The sequence below is a fragment of the Homo sapiens genome, chromosome 2 (assembly GCF_000001405.40).
Source record: "Homo sapiens chromosome 2, GRCh38.p14 Primary Assembly".
Classification (NCBI taxonomy): domain Eukaryota; kingdom Metazoa; phylum Chordata; class Mammalia; order Primates; family Hominidae; genus Homo; species Homo sapiens.
In genome coordinates, this window is record NC_000002.12 from 155,816,399 (window position 1) to 155,840,332 (window position 23,934).

The following is a 23,934-nucleotide window of genomic DNA, read 5'->3' on the forward strand; positions in this document are numbered from 1 at the left end:
TACAAAATAAGAAGAGATAATTTATCCAGTTAAGAAGAAACCATAGAAACAATTTTGGATGTACAGAAAACAGAATATTACAACACACCAAAAGGATCATACTAACTGTCCAGCAATTGAACCTAAGCAAAATGACATCTTTGAAATATCAGATAAATAATTTTAAATATTTATTTTAAAGAAGCTTAATGAAATCTAAGAGAATGTTGAAAATCAACACACACAAAAATGAGAAAAATAATTCAAGGTATGAATGATAAATTTGCTAAATATATAGATGTTAAAAACAAAAAACAAGCCAAACATCTGGAATTTAAAAATTTGTTGAAGGAATTTAAAACTATTGCTGAAATCTTTAACAATAAACGAGACCAAGTGAAAGAAAGTTTCCCAGAGCTTGAAAACAGGTCATTCCAATTAACCCAGTGGGATAAAAATAAAGAAAAACATTTTTTTTAATGAATAAAGCCTGTACTCAGTACAGGGTTATGAAAACAACCAAGCCTGCAAGTTGTAGGTATCCCTAAGGGAGAAGAAAGAGAAAAAAGTTTGGGAAACTTATTTGAGGAAATAAGTGAAAGTTTCTTTACTCTCGCTAGAGACTTAGACATCCAGATATAAAGACTCAAAGAACTTTAACAAGATACACTGCAAGACAGACTTCACAATGACATATAGTCATCAAATTACACACAGTCAATATGAAGAAATAAGACTCAAATGTCAACAAGAGAAAAAAAAGGCATCTCATAACATATAAAGGAAATTCCATAAGACTAACAGTGGATATCTTAGCAGAAACTCACAAGCCAGAAGAGATTGAAGTCCAATTTTCAGATTCTTAAATAAAAAATATTATCAATCATGAATTTTGTAACTTGCTAAATTAAGCTTTATAAATAAAGGAGAAATAAAGTCTTTCTGGCCAAGCAAACACTAAGAGAATTCACCATCACTAGGCCAGTTCTGCAAGAAAGGCTCAAGGCAATCTAAACCTTGAAATGAAAGCTTGATAATCTCCGTCATAGAAACACATGAAATTATAAAACTCACAGGCCTTATAAAACAGTAATTGAGACTATAAAGCAACTAGACAACCGACATTATGACAAAACAAAACTTAACATATCAATATTAACTTTCAACATAAATGAATTAAATACTCCACTTAAATGGTATAGATTAGTGGAATGAATTAAAAAAATAAGATCCAACTATATGCTGCTTATAAGAAACCAATCTAATTATTAAAGACACATAGATTCAAAGTAAAGTATGGAAAAAGATATTTCAAACAATTGGAGACCAAAAGCAAACAGGATTAACTACATTTATGTCAAATGAAACAGACTAAATCTACAACAGTTAACAAAGACAGAGTCATTATATAATGATAAAAAGATCAATTGAATGGGAAGATATAATAATCCTAAATATATAAGCACCCAACACTGGAACACCCAGAATGATAATGCAAATACTACTTAATATGGTTTGGCTCTATATCCACACCCAAATCTCATCCAGAGTTGTAATCCCCACATGTCAAGTAAGGGACTTGCTCAGAGGTGACTGGATCATGGGGGTGGTCTCCCTCATGCTGTTCTTGTGATAGTGAGTTCTCATGAGAGCTGATGGCTTTAAAGTGTAGCACTTTCACCTTCTCTCTCTCTCCTGATACCTTGTAAGATGTGCCCTGCTTTCTCTTCACCTTCCACCATGATCATAAGTTTCCTGAGGCCTCCCCAACCATGCAGAACTGTGAGTCAATTAAATTTATTTCTTTATAAATTATACAGTCTCAGGTGTTATTTTATAGCATTGTGAAAACAGATAACACAGAGAATTGGTACCAGCAGAGTAGGCTGCTGCTATAAAGAAAATCTGAAAATGTAGAATTGACTTTGGAACTGGGTAATGGGCAGAGGTTGGAACAGTTTGAGGGGCTCAGAAGAAGACAGAAAGATGTGGGAAGGTTTGGAACTTCCTAGAAACTTGTTGAATTATTTTGACCAAAATGCTGACAGTGATATAGACAATGAAGTCCTCATCAGATGGGGATCTGGTACTATTGTGGACTGAAGCAAAGGTGAGTCTTGCTATGCTTTAGCTAAGAGACTGGTGGCATTTTCTCCCTGTCCTAGAGATCTGGGGAACTTTAAACTTGAGAGAGATGATTTAGGGTATCTGGTGGAAGAAATATCTAAGCAGCAAAGCATTCAAGAGGTGACCTTGCTTTTACAAAGAGATGATATGAAATTGGAACTTATGTTTAAAAGGGAAGTAGAGTGTAAAAGTTTGGAAACTTTGCAGACTGACCATGGTAGAAAAGAAAAACCCATTTTCTCAGAGGAAATTCAAGCAGGCTGCAGAAATTTGCATAAATAATGAGGAGCCAATGTTAATCATCACTGACAATGGGGAAAATGTCTCCAGGGCATTTCAGAGATCTTCAAGGCAGCCCCTTTCATCACAGGCCCAGAGGCCTAGGAGGAAAAAATAGTTTTTGTGGGTCAGGCTCAGAGCCCCACTGCTCTGTGCAGCCTTGGGATTTGGTGCTCTGTGTCCCAGCTGAAAGCTCCAGCCATGGCTATAAGAGGCCAACACACAGTTCAGGCCGTTGCTTCAGAGAGTGCAAGCACCAAGTCTTGGTGGTTTACACATGGTGTTGGAGGGAAAAATGGTTTTGTGGGGCAGGCTCAGGGCCCCACTGCTCTGTGCAGCTTTGAGACTTGGTGCTCTGCATCCCAGCCAAAAGTTCCAGCATGGGTAAAAGAGGCCAATGTACAGCTCAGGCCATTGCTTCATAGAGTGCAAGCTCCAAGCCTTTGTGGCTTACATGTGGTTTTGGGCCTGCAGGTGCACAGAAGACAAGAGTTGAAGTTTGAGAACCTTCACCTAGATTTCAGTGGATGTATGGAAATTCCTGGATGTCTGGGCAGAAGTTTGCTGCAGAGGTGGAGCCTTCATGGCAAACCTCTTCTTGGGTAGTGCAAAGGGGAATTGTGGGGTTGGAGCCCCCCACACAGAACCTCCAGTGGGGCAATGCCTAATGGAGCTGTGAGAAACAGGCCACTGTCCTCTAGACCTCAGAAAGGTAGGTCCACCAACAGCTTGCACCATGCACCTGGAAAAGCTGCAGGCACTCAATGATAGTCCGTGAAAGAAACCATGGGGACTGTACCCTGCAGAGCCACAGAAATGGAGCTTCCCAAGGCCATGGGAGTAACCCCTTGCATCAGCATGCAGCATGACCTAGATGTGAGACATGAAATCAAAGATTATGGAGCTTTAAGGTTTTTTTTTTGTTTTTCTTTTTGTTTTGAGACAGAGTCTCACTCTGTCACCCAGGCTGGAGTGCAGTGGCATGATCTTGGCTCACTGCAACTTCCACCTCCCAGGTTCATGCAATTCTCCTGCCTCAGCCTCCCAAGGAGCTGGGATTACAGGTGCCCATCACCATGGCTGGCTAATTTTTGTATTTTTAGTAGAGACAGGGTTTCAGTGCATTGGCCAGGCTGGTCTTGAACTCCTGACCTCAGGTGATCTGCTTGGAGCTTTAAGATTTAATGACTGTCTGGCCAAGTTTTTGACTTGCAGAGGCCCTGTGGCCCCTTTGTTTTGGCTGAATTATCCCACTTAAAATGGGAACATTTACCCAATGCCAGTACCCCCAGTTGTATCATGGAAGTAACTAACTTGTTTTTGATTTTACCATCCTATAGGTAGAAGAAACTTGCCTTGTCTCAGATGAGACTTTGGACTTGGACTTTTGGGTTAATGCTGGAATGAGCTAAGACTTTGGGGGACTGTTCAGAAGGAATGATTGGTTTTAAAATGTGAAAAAAACCATGGTATTTGGGAGAGGCCAGGGGCAGAATAATATGGTTTGGCTTTGTGTCCCCACTCATATCTCATCTTGAATTGTAATCCCCACATGTCAAGGGAGAAACCTGGTAGGAGGTGATTGGATCATGGGGGCAGTTTCACCCATGCTGTTCTTGTGATAGTAGGTGAATTCTAACAAGACCTGATGACTTTAAAGTGTGGCACTTCCTCACCGTCTCTCTCCTGCAACCATGTAAGGCATGCCTTGCTTCCTCTTCACCTTCTACCATAATTGTTAGTTTCCTGAGGCCTCCCCAGCCATATGGAACTGTGAATCAATTAAACCTCTTTTTTTAATAAATTACCCAGTCTCAGGTAGTATATATATAGCAGTGTGAAAACTAATACACTACTAGACCTAAGAAAAGAGATAGCAATACAATAATAGTGGAATTTTAACACCCCACTGACAGCACTAGAAACATAATTAAAGGAGTAAATGAACAAAGCAACACTGGACTTAAATTAGACTGTAGACAAAATTGACCTGATAGACATTTACAGAATATTCTACCCAACAACTGCAGAATATACACTTTTCACATCATTACATGGAAGTTTTAAGGTAGACCAACTGTAAGTCCACAAAACAAATATTAATAAGTTTAAATAAATCAAAATTATATCAAATATCTTCTCAGACCACAGTAGAATGAAAGCAGAAATTCATTTTAAGAAGAACTCAGGAAACTATACAAATACATGGAAATGAAAGAACATGATCTTCAATTATCTTTGTGTCAACAAATTAATGTGGAAATTAAAAAATTTTTTAAATGAATAAAAATAGATGCACAATAAAGCAAAACATTTGGGATACTACAAAAGCAGTATGGAAATGGAAGTTAATAGCATTAAATGCCTACATCAAGAAAATAGAAAGATCACAAATTTACAACCTAACATTATACCTCAAGCAACTAGGAAAACAAGAACAAACCAAACTCAAAGCTAGCAGAAGAAAAAATTATAAAAGACATTAAAGAAGAGCTAAATGAAATTGAGACCAAAATATAAAAATAAAAAGGATTAATATAATTAAAAGTTAATGTTTTGAAAGGATGAACAAAATAAATAGACTGATAGCTAGATTAACCAAGAAAGGATGAGAGAAGCTTCAAATTAGCAAAATCAGAGATGAAAATGGAGACATTACAAGTGATGCCATAGAACTATAAAGATCATGAGAGACTTTTAGGAACAGCTAGCTCTACACTCACAAACTAGAAAACCTAGAGGAAATGGATAAAGTCATAAGTGACTTCAGTAAAGTTTCAGGATACAAAATCAATGCACAAATATTAGGAACATTTCTATACACCAATAATGACTAAGCTGAAAATCAAATTAATTCCATGTATTATAGCTTCAAAAACAATAAATAAAATACCTAGAAATTCATTTAACCAAGGAGATAAAAGGTCTCTACAAGGAAAACTACAAAACACTGATGAATAAATGAAAAAACATCCTGTGCTCAGGGGTTGGCAGAATCAATATTGTTAAAATGACCATACTCCCTAAAGCTAGATACAGATTCAGTGAAATTGCTATCAAAATACCAAAGTCAGAAAACTCACCTGGAACCTACAAGACCCTGAATAGCCAACCCAAGTCTAAATGAAAAGAATAAAACTGGAGACAACACATTAGCTGACTTTAAATTATACGATAAGTTCATAGTAACCAAAATAGCACGGTACTGGTATAAAAATAGACACATAGATCAATGGACCAAAATAGGGAACCCAGAAATAAAGCCATATACCTATGACCAACTGCTCTTTGACGAAGTCAACTAAAAACGTACACTGGGGAAACAATACCCTATTCAACAAATTGTGCTAGGAAAATTGGATTGTCATATGCAGAAAAATGAAACTGGACCCCTATTTCTCACCATATACAAAAATTAACTCAAGGTGATTAGACATTTAAAATTAAACCTGAAACTATGAAATTCCTAAAATAAAACCTAGGAGAAACTTCTGGACATTGACCTAGGCCAAGAATTTATGACCAAAACTTCAAAAGCACAAGCAACAACAACAACAAAAGTAGACAAATGGGACTTCCTCAAGTGAAAATGCTTCTGCACAGCAAAAGAAATAATCAGCAGAGTAAATAGGTAATCTACAGAATGGGAGAAGATATTTCCAAACTATGCATCTGACAAAGAACAAATACCCAGATTCTCCAAGGAAGTCAAACAACTCAAGAAGAAAAAACAAAACAAATAACTTCATTTAAAAATGAGTAAAAAAACATGAAGACACTTCTTAAAAGAAGACATACACATTGCCAACAAACATGAAAAAACTTTAAACAACATCAATGATAGAGAAATGCAAATTAAAACCACAATGAGATATCATCTTATACCAGTCAGAATGGCTATTCTCAAAAAGTCAAAAAACAACAGATGTTGGTGAGAGTGTGGAGAAAAGGGAATACTTATACGCTGTTAGTGGGAATGTAAATTAGTTCAATCTCTATGGAAAACAGTATGGAGATTGCCAAAGAACTGAAAATAGAGCCACCATTCGACCCAGCAATCCCACTACTGGTATCTACCCAAGGGAAAAGAAATCTTTATATGAAAAACAAAAAAAAAGACACATGCACTTTTATGTTTATCACAGCCCTATTCAGAATAGCAAAGATATAAAATTGACCTAAGTGCCCATCAACAGATCATTGGATAAAGAAAATGTGCTCTGTATATGTACACACAAACACACACAAACACACACTCATGTACACATACACCATGGAGCACTATTCAGTCATAAAAAAAGAATAAAATCATGTCTTTTGCAGCAAAATGTATGCAATCATCGGCCATTATATTACAGGAAATAAATCAGAAACCAAAAGTTAAATACTGACTTGTTCTCATGCATAGGTGGGTGCTAAATAATGTGTACACATGGTCATAGAGAGTTGAATAATAGACATTGGAGACTTAAAATGTGAAATGGTGGGAGGGGGTGGGGGATGGAAATTATTTAATGAGTACAATGTACACTCTTCTGTTGATGGTTAAACTAAAAGCCCAGTCTGTTGTTTAATTTCCACGTATATGTAAGTTTCTCTAATTTGTGTTTTTTTGACATTATTTTATTGTAGTCAGTGAACATACTTTATATTATTTCTATTCTTTGAAACTTACTGAGCTTTTTTAAAATGACATAACATATTAACTACCTTAAAGAATATTCCCTGTGTACTTGAAAAGAATGTATATTCTTCTGATATTGAATGGACTGTTCTGCATATATCTATTAGATTTCATTTGTTTATAATGTTTTTCGAGTCTTCTTTTTTGTTGATGTATTTGATCTGTTATGAGAAGTGGGCATCTGAGTTCTCTATTAGTGTTTAATTATCTATTTCACCTTTCATTTCTGTCAGTTTTTGCTTTATGCATTTTGGTGCCCTGTTATTAAGTGCATATATACGTATAATTGTGATATCTTCCTGATGCATTGATTATTTTATCATTATAAATATCTTCCTTTATGTCTAGTAACATTATTTGTTTCAAAGTCTATTTTGTTTATTGTTATTATAGTCACTTCCTAATTTTTTCTTTGCGTAAATCTTTTTTCCATTTTTTATTTTTTAAATTGATTCATATATTTAAATCTCAAGTGTCTTAGATCTTTTCTTAATCCTGTCTAAAAATTACTCCTTATGAATTGGAATATTTTATTCATGAAGATTTACTGTTACTATTGACATAATTGGATTTTCACATACCATTTTGCTTTTTGTTTTTATATCTCCTGTGTCTTTTTCCTCCTCTTTTCCTCTTTTACTGCTTTTTTTGCATCAGGTAAATATTTTCTCTGGAAGTATTTTAATATATTTTTATGAATGGTTTACTCTGTTGTTTAAGTTATTTCCATAGTGGCTGCTTTCAGGCTTATCATATAGATATTAACTTATAAGAAATGTCTTTATATTTATACAAACTTAATTTCACTGAGATAGGAAAACATTACTCCCATATAACTATTTTCTTTCCCTCCTTTTGTGATATTACTCTCAAACACACTACACTTATTTCTTCAAACCAAATGACGCTTATTAAAATCATAATTTTATATAGTATTATGTACTTTAAAGAAACTAAGGGACGAAGGGTGAGCAAATATTTATTTATAGCTTTGTTATATTAACCTTCTCATCTATCATTTGTGATTCTGTTTGTTTATTCCCATGGTTTCAAGTTTTTATTTGTAGTCATTTCCTTAGCCCAATACAGCTTTGCATCCAACCCACATGTTCTGTGCTGTTATTAGACAATATATTACAATTCTATGTGTTATTAAGTCCAACAATACTATATACACATATAGTGTATGAATGTATGTGTGTGTATATACATTATATATGTATTAAATAGGTATGTGTGTGTATACATGTGCAGACTAGGCATCCTCAATTCAAAAAATTCAAAATCTTTAATGCTCCAAAATCCAAAACTTTTGAGCATTGACATGATGCCACAAGTGGAAAATTTCACACCTAACTTCGGTGATGGGTCACAGTCAAAACACAGGCCCACAACACACAGTTCATTCAGCATCTGTACAGTAACCTTTTAATCAAGACACACAATTGCAGGTGGAGACTGAAAGCCTGCTGTTGTTTCCTGTTGCTGTTGTTTAACAGCCTACACAGGTATTCTGGTGCTGCTACTGTGCTTCTTAGTTACCATAAACACATAATTTTTTCACTATTACTGATATGTCATACTTTTTACTGTTAAGTACATATGTGTGAATAAGTATAAGAAAATAATTACTTACTGATAGCAGAGAAATTCAGATTCAGGAACGATGGTGATGCCAACAAAAACAGATTTTCCACGTGAGTGACTGAGATAGTGACACTTTTGCTTTCTGATGGTTCAATATGCAGAAACTTTGTTTCATACACAAAATTATTAAAAATATTATACAAAATTACTTTCAGGCTATGTGTATAAGGTATATATGAAACATAAATAAATTTTGTGTTTACACTTGGGTCTCCTCTCCAAGATATCTCATTATGTATATGCAAATATTCTACAATTTAAAAAAATCTGAAATCTGAAACACTTCTGTTCCCAAGCATTTTGGATAAGGGATACTCAACCTGTGTATACATTTCCTCTGAATCTTTGTTTATTTTTCCTCATTAATGTCTTCAAATTTTCTAATTCTTTCCTCTGCCTGTTAAAATCTACTAATGAGCCCCTCTGGTAAATGCTTCATTTTAGTTATTACACTTTTCAGTTTCAGATTTTTCTATTTTTCAAATAATTTCCATGTTTTTGTTGATCTTCCCTATCTAATGTAACACTTTCATCATAGTTTACTTCTTTAATAATGGTTTTCTTTAGCTCTTTGAACATATTTATAAGGGCTACTTTGAAGTATTTATCTATTATACACAATTTCTGTTGTTTCTCACCAGCAGTTTTTGTTGCTTGCTTTTTTTCTAGTATTTGGCTCATCCTTTCATGTTTCTTTGAATGTCTCATTTTTTTTTTCTGGAAACTGAACAATTTAGATAATGTATTGTAGCAATTTTCCTCTCCATTCTAGAGCTGGTTATTGATATTTTCTTCTTTACTTGTTTAGTAACTGGCTGGGTTGTTTTAGTGAAGTCTGCGTGATGTTGCTTTTCAGAGGACACACCCTTTGGTAAGCCCAGAGTTATTCTAGGTTCGACAGGACTCTCTTTATCTCTCCTTACCACACCAGATGTTAAGCTCCAGCAATTGCTGGCTCATTGCTCTACTGTTTACAGTAATATCCCAGGGCATAAATTGTTCCACACACTAATCCAATCAAATTTAGGCTACTTGAAGGTGTAGTTCCAAAGGTCAGTGTTTGAGATTTGTTCTGACACCAGAAGGGCTCTTGCAAGCTGTCTATTTCTCCATTTCTTTCCAACAAGCTAGCTTCTCTAAGAATAGCTCATATTTCACATGAATGTGTTCATCACTTGTCAACTGCTTTTTACCTAGATGTCCTCCTGAGAGTGCTCCAGTGCCTGACTTTTTTGCATTTTGCTACAAATGAAGTTCCTTTCTTTAAAGTGGCCTTTGAAGTTCTCTGTTCTACGGCTTGCTTGTTTTCTCAGACAAAATATTAACCCAGTGTTTGGCGTTGGGACAGGGAAAATGGCGAGCTTCTTTCTAAATGACACCCCAGTTGAAGAGCTGAACACTCAGTGGATAAGAAGAGGGCAGCATCTTTAGGTATCTTTGGCATGCTTCCTTTGTTCTTATGAAATCCTCATCCCATGAACCAGGGCAAGGGCAACTGGGGGCTCCAGTATGCCCAGACACCACTCCCATACTACATCATTTTTCCCATAAGTGAGGACTAGGCAATAAAAGGGGTCCTCCGTGCCTTAGCCATACTCATCCAGAATTTAGATTCAGAAACAGGTAGCTGGGATCAAGACGAAAAATGTTGATGTTCTGAACCATAAGGGAAGAGAGCCCTCCAACTTGATGCTGGAAAAAGAGAGAAGCCTGTGTTCTTGGCTGTTCCATTTTGGAGTAGAGTTTCTGTCCAGCTGATCTGGAAAAGGGGTGATGAAAGGCATGGGTCTTGGTTTAAGTATCCAAGCTTTTGCAGTTTTTACTAAGTATAATAGATTTCTTTGAATAAGTGGTTTTTTTTTCATTTGCTATATACAATTTTCTGAAAACTTCAATGTTGTTTTTATTTATAATACTCACTAGTTTCACTAGGGAGTGGACCCATGGAGCTCCTCACAGTGATATCAGAAGAGGAGCTCCCATTTTCCTCCCTGTTGAAGTACATATAAAGAGAATCACATAGAGGTACTTTTGTGATATCTGCTTCTTTTACTGAGCATTATGCATCTGAGATACTATTATGCTGTTATGTATAGCAATAATTTTTTCTCTTTCATTCCAATATAATACTTCATGGTATGAATACGCCATAACAAGTCATTGTTCTCTTCAGTGTCATTTGGATCATTTTCAGTTTGGGGGTATTATAAGTAAAGCTCTTATAACAATCATCATATACTTTCTAATCAACATAATCATTTATTCTCAGCATACTCCTCTGAATGAAACTTACGAGTCATAAATATATGTATGTTTAACTTTAGTAATATTTGCCAATTTCTCAAGAACATGGTTCCAATATACACCAGCATCAGCAATAAATAAGAGTTTTAGTTGCTCCATACTTAGACAACCTTTGGTATTATCAGGTTCTTTTAATTTTAGCCCTTCTGGTAGCATATCTCATTCTGATTATATTTTCCATCTCCGTTATAACTAATGATGTTAAGTATCTTTCCATATGTTGGCCAAATGAATAGTGTTTTTTGGGTGCCATTTTGAGTTCTTTGCCCATTTTTTAAAAAAACTGGTTTGGCTGTCTTTTTCTATTTTATTTTTAGGAGTTCTTTATATATTATGTTAGATATATGCATTGCATATCTTCTCCTAATCTGTGGCCTACCTCTTCACTCTTTTTATTATATCTTCTGATGAACAAAATTATTTATTTTAAAATGAATTCCAATGTAGCAACCTTTTCTTTTAGAGCTAATTTTTTGTGCCCTTTTAAAGAAATATTTGTCTCCACCAAGGTCATAAATATATTGTCTTATATTTTTTTCTGGAAACATAATAGTTTTACATTTCACATTTGCAACTATAAACTATCCTAAATTACTCTATGTCTAGTATACAATCTATTTTAAAGTCCATTTTTATTCATATGGATATAGAATTTGTCCAGCATTATTTATTAAACAATCTTATGCTCACAAAATTGTCATGGCATAAGCAGGCCTATCTCTTAATTCTTAGTTGCTTTGGTGTTTTAAACTATAACTACATCAAACCACACTGTCTTAACTACTAAAGCTTTACAATACACTATGAAATCTGGTAATGTATATCCTTCATCTTTGTTTTTATTTAAGGTTGCTATGGCTATTTCTGGTCATTTATATTTTAATATAAGTTTAGAATCAGAATTTTTAAAGTCTAATCAGTGTGTCAAAATGATTAAATCAGAGAGTCATTTCTATCCACTAGTAAAAAGAGACCCAAGAGATTTCTTTATAAATGTTTTAGAGGACAATAGGTGGGAATACACTAAAAGAAAAAAAACAAAAGATGTTTTAGCTAGATATTCTTGTCTGTAGAATGATGTAGAAGAGTTTGGCAAAGTAGTTTAAAAAATACTGCTTAATACATTTATATGTGTATTAGTTCATTTTCATACTGATATAAACAACATCCTGAGACTAGGTAATTTATAAATAATAGAGGTTTAATTGACTCACAGTTCCTCATGGCTGCGGAGGCCTTAGGAAACTTAAAATCATGGCAAAAGTGGAAACAGGCACACCTTACATGGCAGCACGAGAAGGAAAGCATGTGAAGTAGGAACCACCAAACACTTATAAAACCATCAGATCTCATAAGTACTCATTACTATCATGAGAACAGAATGGAGGAAACTGCTCCCATGATACAATCACCTCCCTCCCTCAACACGTGGGGATTACAATTTGAGATGAAATTTGGGTAGGCACACAGAACCAAACCACATCATTCCACCCCTGGCTCCTCCCAAATCTCATGTCTTTTCACATTTCAAAACCAATTATGCCTTCCCAACAAAAACAGAAACTTCTTCCGCCTGATATCCTAAATCATCTCTCTCAAGTTCAAAGTTCACAGATGTCTAGGTCAGGAGCAAAATACCACCAGTCTCTTTGCTAAAGCATAGCAAGAGTCACCCTTGCTCCAGTTCCCAATAAATTTCTCATCTTCATTTGATGCCACCTCAGCCTGGACTTCATTGTGCATGTCACTATCAGCATTCTGGTCAAAGCCATTCAACAAGTCTCTAGGAAGCTCCAGACTTTCCTACATCTTCCTGTCTTCTTCTGAGCCCTCCAAACTGTTCCAACCTCTGCCCATAACCCAGTTCCAAAGTCACCTCCACATTTTCAAGTATCCTTTTAACAGTACCTCACTCTCTGCAGTACCAATTTATTCTATCGGTCCGTTTTTACACTGCTATAAAGAACTTCCCAAGACTGGGTAATTTATAAAGAAAAGAGGTTTAACTGAATCACAGTTCCCCATGGCCAGGGAGGCCTCAGGAAACTTAAAATTATGGCAGAAGGGGAAGCAGGTACATCTTACATGGTAGCAGGCGAGAGAGAGCATGTGAAGGAGGAACTGTCAAACACTTATAAAACCATCAGACGTCATAAAAACTCATTACTATTATGAGAACAGCATGGGAAAAACCACCCTCATGATCCAATCACCTCCCTCCCTCTACACATGGGGATTACAGGTCCCTCTCTCAAGACGTGGGGATTACAATTTGAGATGAGATTTGGGTAGAAACATAGAGCCAAATCATATCAATATTCAAACCATAATTTTGGGTAAACAACTCCAGTTCTACTCTAGTTCAACTCTATCATAAAGCTTTTCCTACATTCTGAGTATATACATTACCAACTACATGTTATCAACTAGAGCATATATACTGCAGTTTACAAAACAATTTATTTGTTTTGTGCATATGAGTCTTATTTTTCATGTGAGTTATGAGTAAGATTATGAGTTCCCTAAGGGCAAAGGTCTTTTAGATTTCTTTTTACCCTTCATGACAAGGTAACCCATAGTACTTAGTGACATGCTCAAAATACTGAAACATTCAAGAAATGCCTCTTGATTGATTGGCCATTGACTGAGAGCCTGTCGACTGTCTGCTATTTAGCTGCTGGCATTTTCTATGTATTTCCCATCTAGCTTTGGTGATGATGTTCAATAGAGACAGATTTCTTTGCAAGTAATTATATTGCTTTTTACATTCTCCTTGAAGGAAGACTGGTCATCAGTGTTAGAGATCTAGTATTAACACAAGAAAAGAAACATGAGTTTTAAAAAAAAAATCTTTGAAGAGACCACAGCAAATGATAATGGAGAAAGCAGTCCACAGGCAATGACACCTTTGGATCCCCTCATACCTAGTCAATCTTCTAATTATACACTGTAGAATGCTAACCACAAAACAGACATACTGTGATTATCTGTAAACATTAGAGGATATAGCATCGAGTTGTATTGCCTCTACCAGGACTCTAAGCCGTAAACTTGTAAGTACATTAGAAGCCGACACTCTTAGCAGACTTTGCTGAATTGCTGGCAGCATCAACATCTGATCGATATGCATGTTCACCAGCCAAGCTGACTAGTACATCTGTTCTGTGAAGAAACATACATTCTGCCTCTAGTACAATCAGTGTAATTAAAAATTAACATGCATTAATTGTTAGAGCTGATGTAAACAGCTGATGTTCCACTTAGCACTGTCTTCTGTACATATCATTAGGCAAAGCCAAATATTGTTAAGTAAACAGGCAGCGCTTACAAAAAGGAGAGAAATAGAAAACTAATTCCAACTAAATAAACTGACACTGTATTAAAAGTCAAATTACAATGATTAACCAGAGCCAGATTAGGCTCTGGATCTTCAGAGGAAAACAATTATAAAAGTCACATTTAATTATTTGAATCTTATTTTGGTAAATGTATTTAGGCTTAGTCTGAAATAGAGTCAGTGCATGCATAATACACTAGGATTTCAAATGAGTAGAAAAGAACTCTAGGAAAAGTATGATTCAGGATTGATTTATGGCTGAAACATTCTGTGAGAATGCATCATTCACAGCCACTTCAGTAACCGGTGTTCTCTGGGGAAACCCAAATCTGATGTTTAATGTTAAAAGGGGTCTATTTTCTTCTGCATGCATCTGCATAACTACTGTCAGTGTCGATGAGAGTTTCAGGCACATACTGAGAAGAGAATATACACCTCACTACTTAAGTTTCGCCTGACTTCTTTTTTTAAATAATGTCATAGCAAAATGATTTCTCTATCTTGATTTAAAACCAGGAAAAGAAAAAAAAATCTCCAGCAAGCAAATCTGTCCAGTGAGATGCACTACCAGCATAAGTTCACAGACCAGTTCTGTAGTTATAGATTGCCTCGGGCATTCAGCTGCTGGGGCCCCAGGCTTTTCCTCCCCTTCTGAGGTTTTCCCTGTAAGTGACTTGCCTGTCACTCTCAAGTCTAATTTAAAAATAGTGTGCATTTAAATTTTGAGAATGATTTCTTAGGTTATTTTCTCATGAAGTTTGACCAAGTTTCAAAATACCAAAGTCCCAATAAGTGTGATTTTTTTGAAAAAAAATAAAAATCACAGAGTGTTAAGGTCCAAGGGAGAAATGGATTTATCTAGAAATCACTAGGGAAAACATTGCTATTCAATGGTATTCACAAAGGTTCAACCCTTTTTTGTTTTTTGTCATAATTATAGTCATTATAAAGAGAATAACTATAAAAATTTCCTTAGCATGTAGGCATGAAATGGTGAATCCTCCACTGTAAGTATACAGTGCTTTAAGAAAGTGCCTACATTATTTATTCATAATTGTGTTAAATTTGAATACAAACTGAATTCATTCATGTATTAAAAGTTATAAACATGTTAAAACTACTCATAACAAAACACATCAGATATGTCAAGAATCACAGCAATCAAAATGAAGCCTATAAAAGGTAAAAGTTACATAAGTGTAAGGCATGAATATAAAAGCTAGCTTAAGAGCTTCTAAGTTTTCTGTTGCTATTCAAAACCACCATTAATCTCCAAGCTTTAAACATAAAAGTTAAAAATTGGTAGTTATAGAATAACTGTTTTTGAAAATTTAAACTCAATTCCTAAAAGATATGATGATGATGATGATGAAGATGATGATTAAAATGTCTGATACTTACAAAACAGTAAGGCTTTAATATTGTCTATATTATACAGTTTACACTTCTGGCATGATATTAAATATATTTTTCTCTTTTTTAAGATGGAAAAATCCATTTAAAATGCTGTTTATAAATGGCCATTTAAGCAAAATAATTTGAAATGATGTTATAGTTAATTAAAAACTAACATATACCCAATGCATGGATTATTAAGAAATAAGTATAATATGCATTCTATAGAACCTACATTAAATATTAAGTATTTCTTTGATTTTTTCAATTACTCAGAAAATGTTGATGGTCTCATGGTGCCTCATACTCATGAAAATCTCTGAGCAGTAACTTACAAAGTATTGTAGGTATTTATGGTTTATATCATTAGGATAAACTCGCTTTTTACCTTGAAGATTACTTTTTAAAATATTTCTCATATCAGTTGTCTTGACATTTAATGTTTATGTATATTTACATATATGTATATATATGTGTGTATATATGTATGTAAAATTGTATATACATATATATAATTGTATACATCTTTGGATATGTAATTATATACAATATGTATATAAAATTGTAAAAATACATATATATATATATACATGTACACACACACACACACACACACACACAATAATTCTGGGAAATTCTGCCTAATTGCAGTTTCCTGTGTTTCTGCTGGGACTAGAAAATAATTTGCTAAAATGAAAAATATGTGTCTCTCTTTAAAAAAAAATTGAAAATACTAAAGCTGTCTCCTTCACTTTCAAAGAAAGGCAAGATAAAAATAAATACATTGTTGTTCATGAAAGTAATATATTCTCTGTAGTATTTTTATAAGGACCTTATATAAAATACAATGATTATAAATCATCAGTGTATTCAGAAATTTCCTCAAAGAATAAAGCGTGAATTTGTATTATCTTAAGTTTCCTCCATTTCGTAGGAGGCCTTTATGAATGTAGTAGCAACTGAATACATGATTTTCACAGAAAGGATTGGAGAGTAGAATATAAATATATAAAGAATATTTGTAGTTAAAAAAGCTTTATTACTACAAAGAATATTTATAGCTATAAAAGCTTCATTAATACTAGTGATTCTTAGAATGTAGTTAATACTATTAGAATTTTTTTTCTCTTAATTACCATCATTTTCTATGTTATTTTATTTTGGAACATTGCTTTCACTCTCTTCTTCTTTGTGGGAACAGGTCAAAGTCGGTTTTCATATTCAATTGTGCTTCCAGGTGATGGAATTTTCAGCAAATGCTATGTATAACTAACAGTTAAAAATGCATTTGTACTCTAAAATTCTTTATAGCACCTCAATCTACAAACAATTTTGCCAATGCAGTTTAAAAAATAAAATTAAGAAACTGATATGAACATTTTTCTGTGTGTAATAAAGCAACATCCAATGTTAATATCATAGGTAATCATTTTGTCTTTGTATTTATTTCAGAAAAAATAAAACTCATAGTTATCTCTGAATCTTATTACAATCAGTTTGTTGCTAAGGATTACTTTTTCTTGCTGTAGGATACATCAGACTTTCACTTTTCTTCTCCATTCCTTTATCCAAAACTACAAATGTGATGTCTCAGAAAACCATAATTGCAAACATAATAATGTATCTTCAGGCTACTAATGTGGTGAAATATTAGCCCTCATGGGCTCACTTTGAGTTTTCATTATTTATGAGTGGTGGGAATAAATGGCAGGTATAATATGGGAAGTAGGTCCACCTAGAGAACACAAATGTCTCAGGAGTCATATCCAATGGAAAGGTGAGAAGAAATCAAAGATATATTTTTATTGTTTTAGCATTTTGTTTAGTCAAGAACTAGAAATCAGGTAGCACTATTTATACTAAAGTGAGAGAGTCTCTCTACTACTATTAAAAGGACTCTCAAGATTTTTAAAGAAGCCAGATGTCTTGAAAGAACAGTTACACTAGTTTGAAATCTCAGAGAAATGCTTTCATTTAAATTGCCCAAACAGCGAATGATAGTGACATGGATGTAGTCAGAACAATGTTGAAAACGGGGAAATTAAAATTAAACTCAAACTTTCAGCCTTCTATCACCCTGTAACAAAATTACTGTGCTCATTTTGGAAAGATAAAAGCAACCAACCAAATTTAACTTGGTCCTTGAAGCTGCCCTGGAGTCCTGCTGTTTATTGGTTTGCTCTCTCTCAAATGCTGTACATTGTAGGGACCACAGTGTCTATTTTCTTCCTCCAATGTTCAATCTTCCCCTTCCCTCTCAAGGGAGGCCTCACCTCCTAATTCATAGAATTTTTAAAAGCCAAGAAGTAACAATTGCTTTAATATCCTACCACTAAACCTATAAAATCACCTGCATCTTTATCCTACTCTCCTCCCCATTTTGTGAAAATGTAAGTGTTCTCCTTTTGCTAAGGCTACCATTTCTGCTGGCCTCCAGATTCTATCCTTTGTGACTTCTCAGATAAACTTCTCTACTCATTTTATGGTCTCTCCTTCCTGATAACCACACTTCTGGCAAATGTTCTTTGCATGGTAATGTCTCCAGTTTTCACCTCTTATTGATTCCTAAATGTCTTAGTCTGAGAAATCCAGGATCAAGGGGGCCACATCTGATAATATCCTTATTGTTGGTAGGGAATCTCTGCAGAGTCCCAAGGCAGCACAGGATATCACATGGTGAGGAGAATGAGTGTAGTAGCTCAGGTTTCTCTTCCTTTTCTTGTATACCCACCAGTCACACTCCCATCATAGCCCATTCATCTATTAACCCATTAATTCCTGAATTGATTAATTCATTCCTGAAGGCAGAACCCTCATTACCCCATCACCTCTTAAAGACCTCACCTTTCAACTTTTCCCAATTGGGGATTAAATTTCAATGCAGGGTTTGGAGGAGACAAATATTCATAGCGTTCAACATTTGTTTGCAATTTAGAGGAGCAGATATCAAGAAAAGATTTAATGTGCGTTAAGAGATGTCTGGGAAAATACCTGCAAAAGAGGAAGGGGAGGGATCATGAATAGGTGAGGAAAACCTTCACACTGTGTTGAGGATCCCTGTGAAGGAGAGATTGAAGGAAGAAGGATTGGTTAGGAAGAGTCTCAGACAATGGCACAGTTTTAAGATATTGTGTCCAGAAAATGGCACACGGATTGAAAGATTATTTTGGAGCTGTGAGATTTAATGTCTGCCTTGCTGAGTTTCATGATTGTTTAGGGCCTGTTACTCCTTTCTTCCTGTTTATTTCTCCCTTTTGGAATAAGAATGTTTAACCTATACCTGTTCTGCCATTGTATTTTAGAAGTAGATAACTTGATTTTTGGTTTTACAGGCTCATAGTTGGAAAGGGTTTGCCTTGAGTCTTAGATGACACCTTAGACCTTTGTGTTGGTGCCAGACCAAATTAAGACTTTGGGGACTATTGGGATGGAATGATTACATCTGGCATATAACGAGGACACGAGTTGTCGGGGGATACTAGAATGTTATGGTTTGGATGTGCTTTGTCTCTGCCAAAATTCATACTGAAATTTAATTGACAATATAGCAGCGTTGGGAGGTAGAACATTTAAGAGGTGGTTAGGTTGTTAAGACAGATTAATGTCTTTCTTGTGAGAATGGGTTAGTTTCCACCAGATGAATTAGTTCTCATAGGAATTGATTAGTCCTTGTGAGAGCTGGTTGTTATAAAACAGGTCAGCCTTCTTGTCCTGTCTCTCTCTCACATGCTTTTTCTGTGTGATATCATCCACGATTTTATGATGCAGTTAGGAGACCCTCGCCAGACACCAGCACCATGTTTCCTGAACTATCCAGTCTCCAGGACCATGAGCCAAGATAAAACTCCTTTCTTTACAGATTACGCAGTCTCGGGTATTCTGTTATAGCAACAGATAATGGGCTAAGACACCCCTACTGTGTTCAGTCATTGGCGATAGGCAGCCAATGGTAAATATGGACTCTGCTCCAACAGTGGTGAATCCAGAAGTGCAACACCTGGAGCTATCATTTGGTTGTCTTCCTGCAGCATGTTTGAGTGTAATATTCTTTTGGCAACACACTGAGCCTCCTCCAATTCAACAGTTATACCCCATCATTAAAATCATTCTCATCAAGCGTCCAGTTGATAGAGTCAGTGAACTCTTTTTAGTTGTAAATTTTCTTGTTCTATCCACTGCATTTGACACTGCTGACCACTCTCTCTTTAAAATTATCTTTTCTCGACTTCTGTCACACTACTTTCAGATTTTTTTGTTTGTTTAAAATCTATTTCTTGTTAGTTTCCTCCTCTGAGAATTACATTTAAAAATCCACATTTCATTATTTCCAAAATTGGCAAATGTCACTATTATATACCAGGATAAAGGGATAAACTATAAAGTTTAGCATTGTTTTGATTTTTACATCTTGCTCTGTCACCATTCATACTATACTTAATTAGCACAATGCTTACCATTCTGCCCCTCAAACCTCTCAAATCCATCCATTCCCCTCCATCTGCATGTGTTTACCAAAACAGCAAGACACTTTCTCTCTCACCTGGATTGTTGCTAAATATCTCTTATACTAGTTTCTTTGTCATGAATCTACTCACACTACAGACTGGGTAATTTTGCGAAAATTTAAATCTGTTAAATACCAATTTCTTGTTAAAAACTCTTCAAGGTCCTTGAGATAAATTTCAAACTGCTTAATACTGTACTGAAGGCTCTTTAAAAACTGGCCCCTGCCTACCCTTTTATCTTCACCTTTCCCACTTCCCATTAGACTCTGTAATGAACTCAAACAACACTTTCTTAAAAGTTGCTCCTCTATGCAATACTCTCTTTTTTATGTCTGGCTGGATCTTTCTTTCCTCTAATTTTTCTCCTGACAAGCTTTTATCCATTTATTCAGTAAACATTTTTGAAACTTTCCCCGAAGTCTTTGAGTCCAGATTTGGTACGTGTTCTCCAAGATCTGAAAGCATCCTCTTCTACTACAACCTTACAGCAGTCTTCCCTTATTCAAAAGGAGTACATTCCAAGACTCACAGTAGATGCTTGAAACCCTAGATAACACAAAAACTTATACATCTTATGCTTTTTTCCTAAATATACATATCTATGATAAAGTTTATTTTATAAATTAGGCACGGTAACAACAATAATTAATAATAAAATAGAATAATAATAAAAATATATTGTAACAAAAGTTATGTAAATGCAGTCTCTCTCTCTCTCAAAATATCTATTGTTGAATTCACCTTTCTTCATGTGATGATGTGAGATGATAAAGTAGCTACATAATGAGATGAAGTGAGGTGAATGACAGTGGCATTGTCACATAGCGTTTGACTACTCTTGACTTTCTGGTGATACATCAGAAGGAGGATCATCTGCTCTGGGTGATCCTGAATCACTGAGCCCTGACAATATCGGCTGGATGTCAGGAGCAGATAATGTTAACTAACTGGGAGGCAGTATATACCGTGTGGATATGCTGGACAAAGGGGTAATTCATGTTCCAGGTAGGAAAGAGCAGGATGGCAGGAGATTTCATCACGCTACTCAAAATGGCATAGGATTTAAAACCTATGAATTATTTATTTCTGGAATTTTCCATTTAATGTTTTCAGACCACAGTTGACTGCAGGTAATTGAAACCTCAGGTGAAACCATGGATAAGAGCCTACTGTATTGTTGCTGACCCATTTCCTTTGCTAGCCATAGGATCCATGATAATTGGAGTCACATCTGTTCTATGTGTTATAATGCTTGAGACATAATAGATAGTCAATCAATATCCCCAGTATGCATTTTAGCAGTATGGCCTCAGAGATACTGTCTTTTTTCCCCTATTCTTCACCACGCATATATTTAATAATTTGATCTGGGAGTCAGAACAGCTGATTTGGCGCCTTTATCCTACTACTAATTATCTATGAAGTCTTGAGATAATCGCTCCAGCCTTCAGTTTCTTCATATCAGGATGTGCTCTGCAAGTGAGTGTTGTCTTTCATTTCCTATCAGAAAAAATGTTGTGTTTCACTGAACTAGATGACCTTTAAGATCGTCTCCAGTTCAAAAATATATTGCCACTGGGGCTACAAACTATTAAGTTGAGGTAGAAGACAAGTGTACAGAGTAACATCACTTAATTATATTAGTATTTAATTTTTACATAGTCTTCTTTTATTAATACAACACTTAGTAATTTCTTTCATTAGTTCTAGTTGACCTCATGACAACAGCTTGTGTCTCTCTGTACCTTTAGCCACAGTTCCCAACTCTTCTCAGTCATCCAGCTTGCACTTACTGGCTAATGTTCTTCTAAAGGTTTGTCTATAGTGTCTTAGCTTCTCTCTTCCTCAGTTTCCTCCTCTGCCAAATGGGTATAGTAATAGTACCTGTAAATTTTTTTATAAATAATTAAACGAGTTTATTTTCTTAAAGGGCCTGGCACACAGTAAGCTCTTATATAATGCTATCAATTATTATTATGGTAAGGAACCAAATCCTTTTTCATTTACCCTGCATTGATACCGGGATTAATCATCCATCCTCATGAGTATGAGGTCATGATATGGACTTTCAACTGGTTTTTGTTTTATTTTATTTTTTCTCTCCAGGACTTTAAATATTTTTCTAGTTTGCTGGATGCCACAAACCTTCCACTTTTGTTTAATAATGTCAGGAGATTTTTTCTCTTTGCATAAGCAATTTTTGTTACCAAAACAAAACAAGACAAAAAACATATACTAATTCCCTTTCCTTGTCGTTTCCAATTTTTACAGATTTCTCTTTATACCTATCCTTCTCACTCTTCAGCCTGACTGTGGAGTATCATATAGCTTAAACAAATTATGAGGAATATTTTAGAGAAACTAACATTTATAATATGTTCTTGTATTTCTACTGCAATGACCATGGGCTCAGATCAATTGAACCCTCCAAATCCATTACAACTTTAAGGGAGAGAGAGTTTCATATCATAAATATTTACTAAAGATCACATGAGAACCGTAGTACTCTTGGAGAAAGATATAAACCATGCTTTTGAAAAAGCTGTCTCTTACCATCCAGCCCCACAAAACCCAGTTCTTCTTCTAAGATGAGAACTACAGTACTTAACATTTCAAGAAAGAAAGAAAACAAAAAGGGAAGCTTTTTTTTATACTATACCTACTCTGTAGCATTATAGAAATTTAGCAGAAAAGACCAGACATCCCCAATACTCCCTCCAACTCTAACCTCAGTCTGTCCTTACTTCCATTGCCGCCCCAGGCAATATGGCATGAAAAGGCTCAGCAAGAAATATTCATTTGTAAAAGAAAAACAAATCATTATAGCAACACTCACTGGTCATTCTGTAGCAAATGTGCAATGCTCAGATTTTGTATTTTCCTGAAATAACATGCACATTTTAGGCATGAAATTATGATTGTTTGACTGTGAAATACTGCACCCAAACACCATGTGGCTTTTAGCAGCGTATCATCATATCAAGAACTATTTTTACCCTTTGGCGATTTTTCCTGCTTTGGCTCTGAGAGCTAGTCCATACGGTATTTGTATGTGGCATCAGTGGCAAAGATTTTTTAGAAGAGTAGATTTCTTCATTTAAACAGCATCACTGTGTAGTACCATGTACCAATGATAGCACAGAATCTAAACTAGAAATTAAAATAGTGTGATTTCAGGTTAACTGGCAAGAAATAAAGTCAGTGAGTATGAACAAGAGAGGAACAAAGATGACAAAGGACTTGGAACATACATGTCTTTTCATTTTCCTTAAAAGGTGATTTAAGTACATACTAGATTTTATAATACCAGAAGAATGACAGTATTTTTTAATGCAGTGCATTCTACATTTTTCCCCCAATGACTCTGAATCCTAGTGACAATGAACTTTGTCCGGCATCTCATTTGATGAAAGCAGGCAGAAAGACTTACAACTTCCATGTATTTGCTGCCTTTCAGAAGCCTGGGCAGAAGAAAAGAGCAACTTCTTGAAAGATTTAAGCACATATTGGTCCCCTTCCAGGACACAGACATGAAGCCATATAAGAAATATTTTGAAAAGACAACCAAAATTAGCCAAACTCTTTAAACTTTCAAAATGCTTGGAGCAAAAGTCTGTTTTAGTTTAATCCAAATTAGTTTGCAGACTTAACTAGAAAGAGAAGCTACAGGAAAATAT

The 23,934-nt window shown here is 35.1% G+C and overlaps 1 long non-coding RNA gene across 4 annotated transcripts in view; it reads right to left on the minus strand.

Moving 5' to 3' along the window:
* The window catches only part of LOC105373703 (uncharacterized), a 158,249-nt gene that overhangs the window by 60,334 nt on the left and 73,981 nt on the right, over positions 1-23,934 (minus strand). Inside the window, exons 6-7 of one of the 4 annotated variants that reach the window (XR_001739751.2) lie at positions 23,254-23,407; positions 16,363-22,141 (exon numbers count right to left, since the gene is read on the minus strand). The exons of 2 other annotated variants lie outside the window; for them this stretch is intronic. This is a non-coding gene — a long non-coding RNA (uncharacterized LOC105373703). Of the gene's footprint in view, positions 1-16,362; positions 23,408-23,934 lie in introns of those variants that run through there. One more of the 4 variants, XR_001739750.2, reaches the window with a different exon arrangement.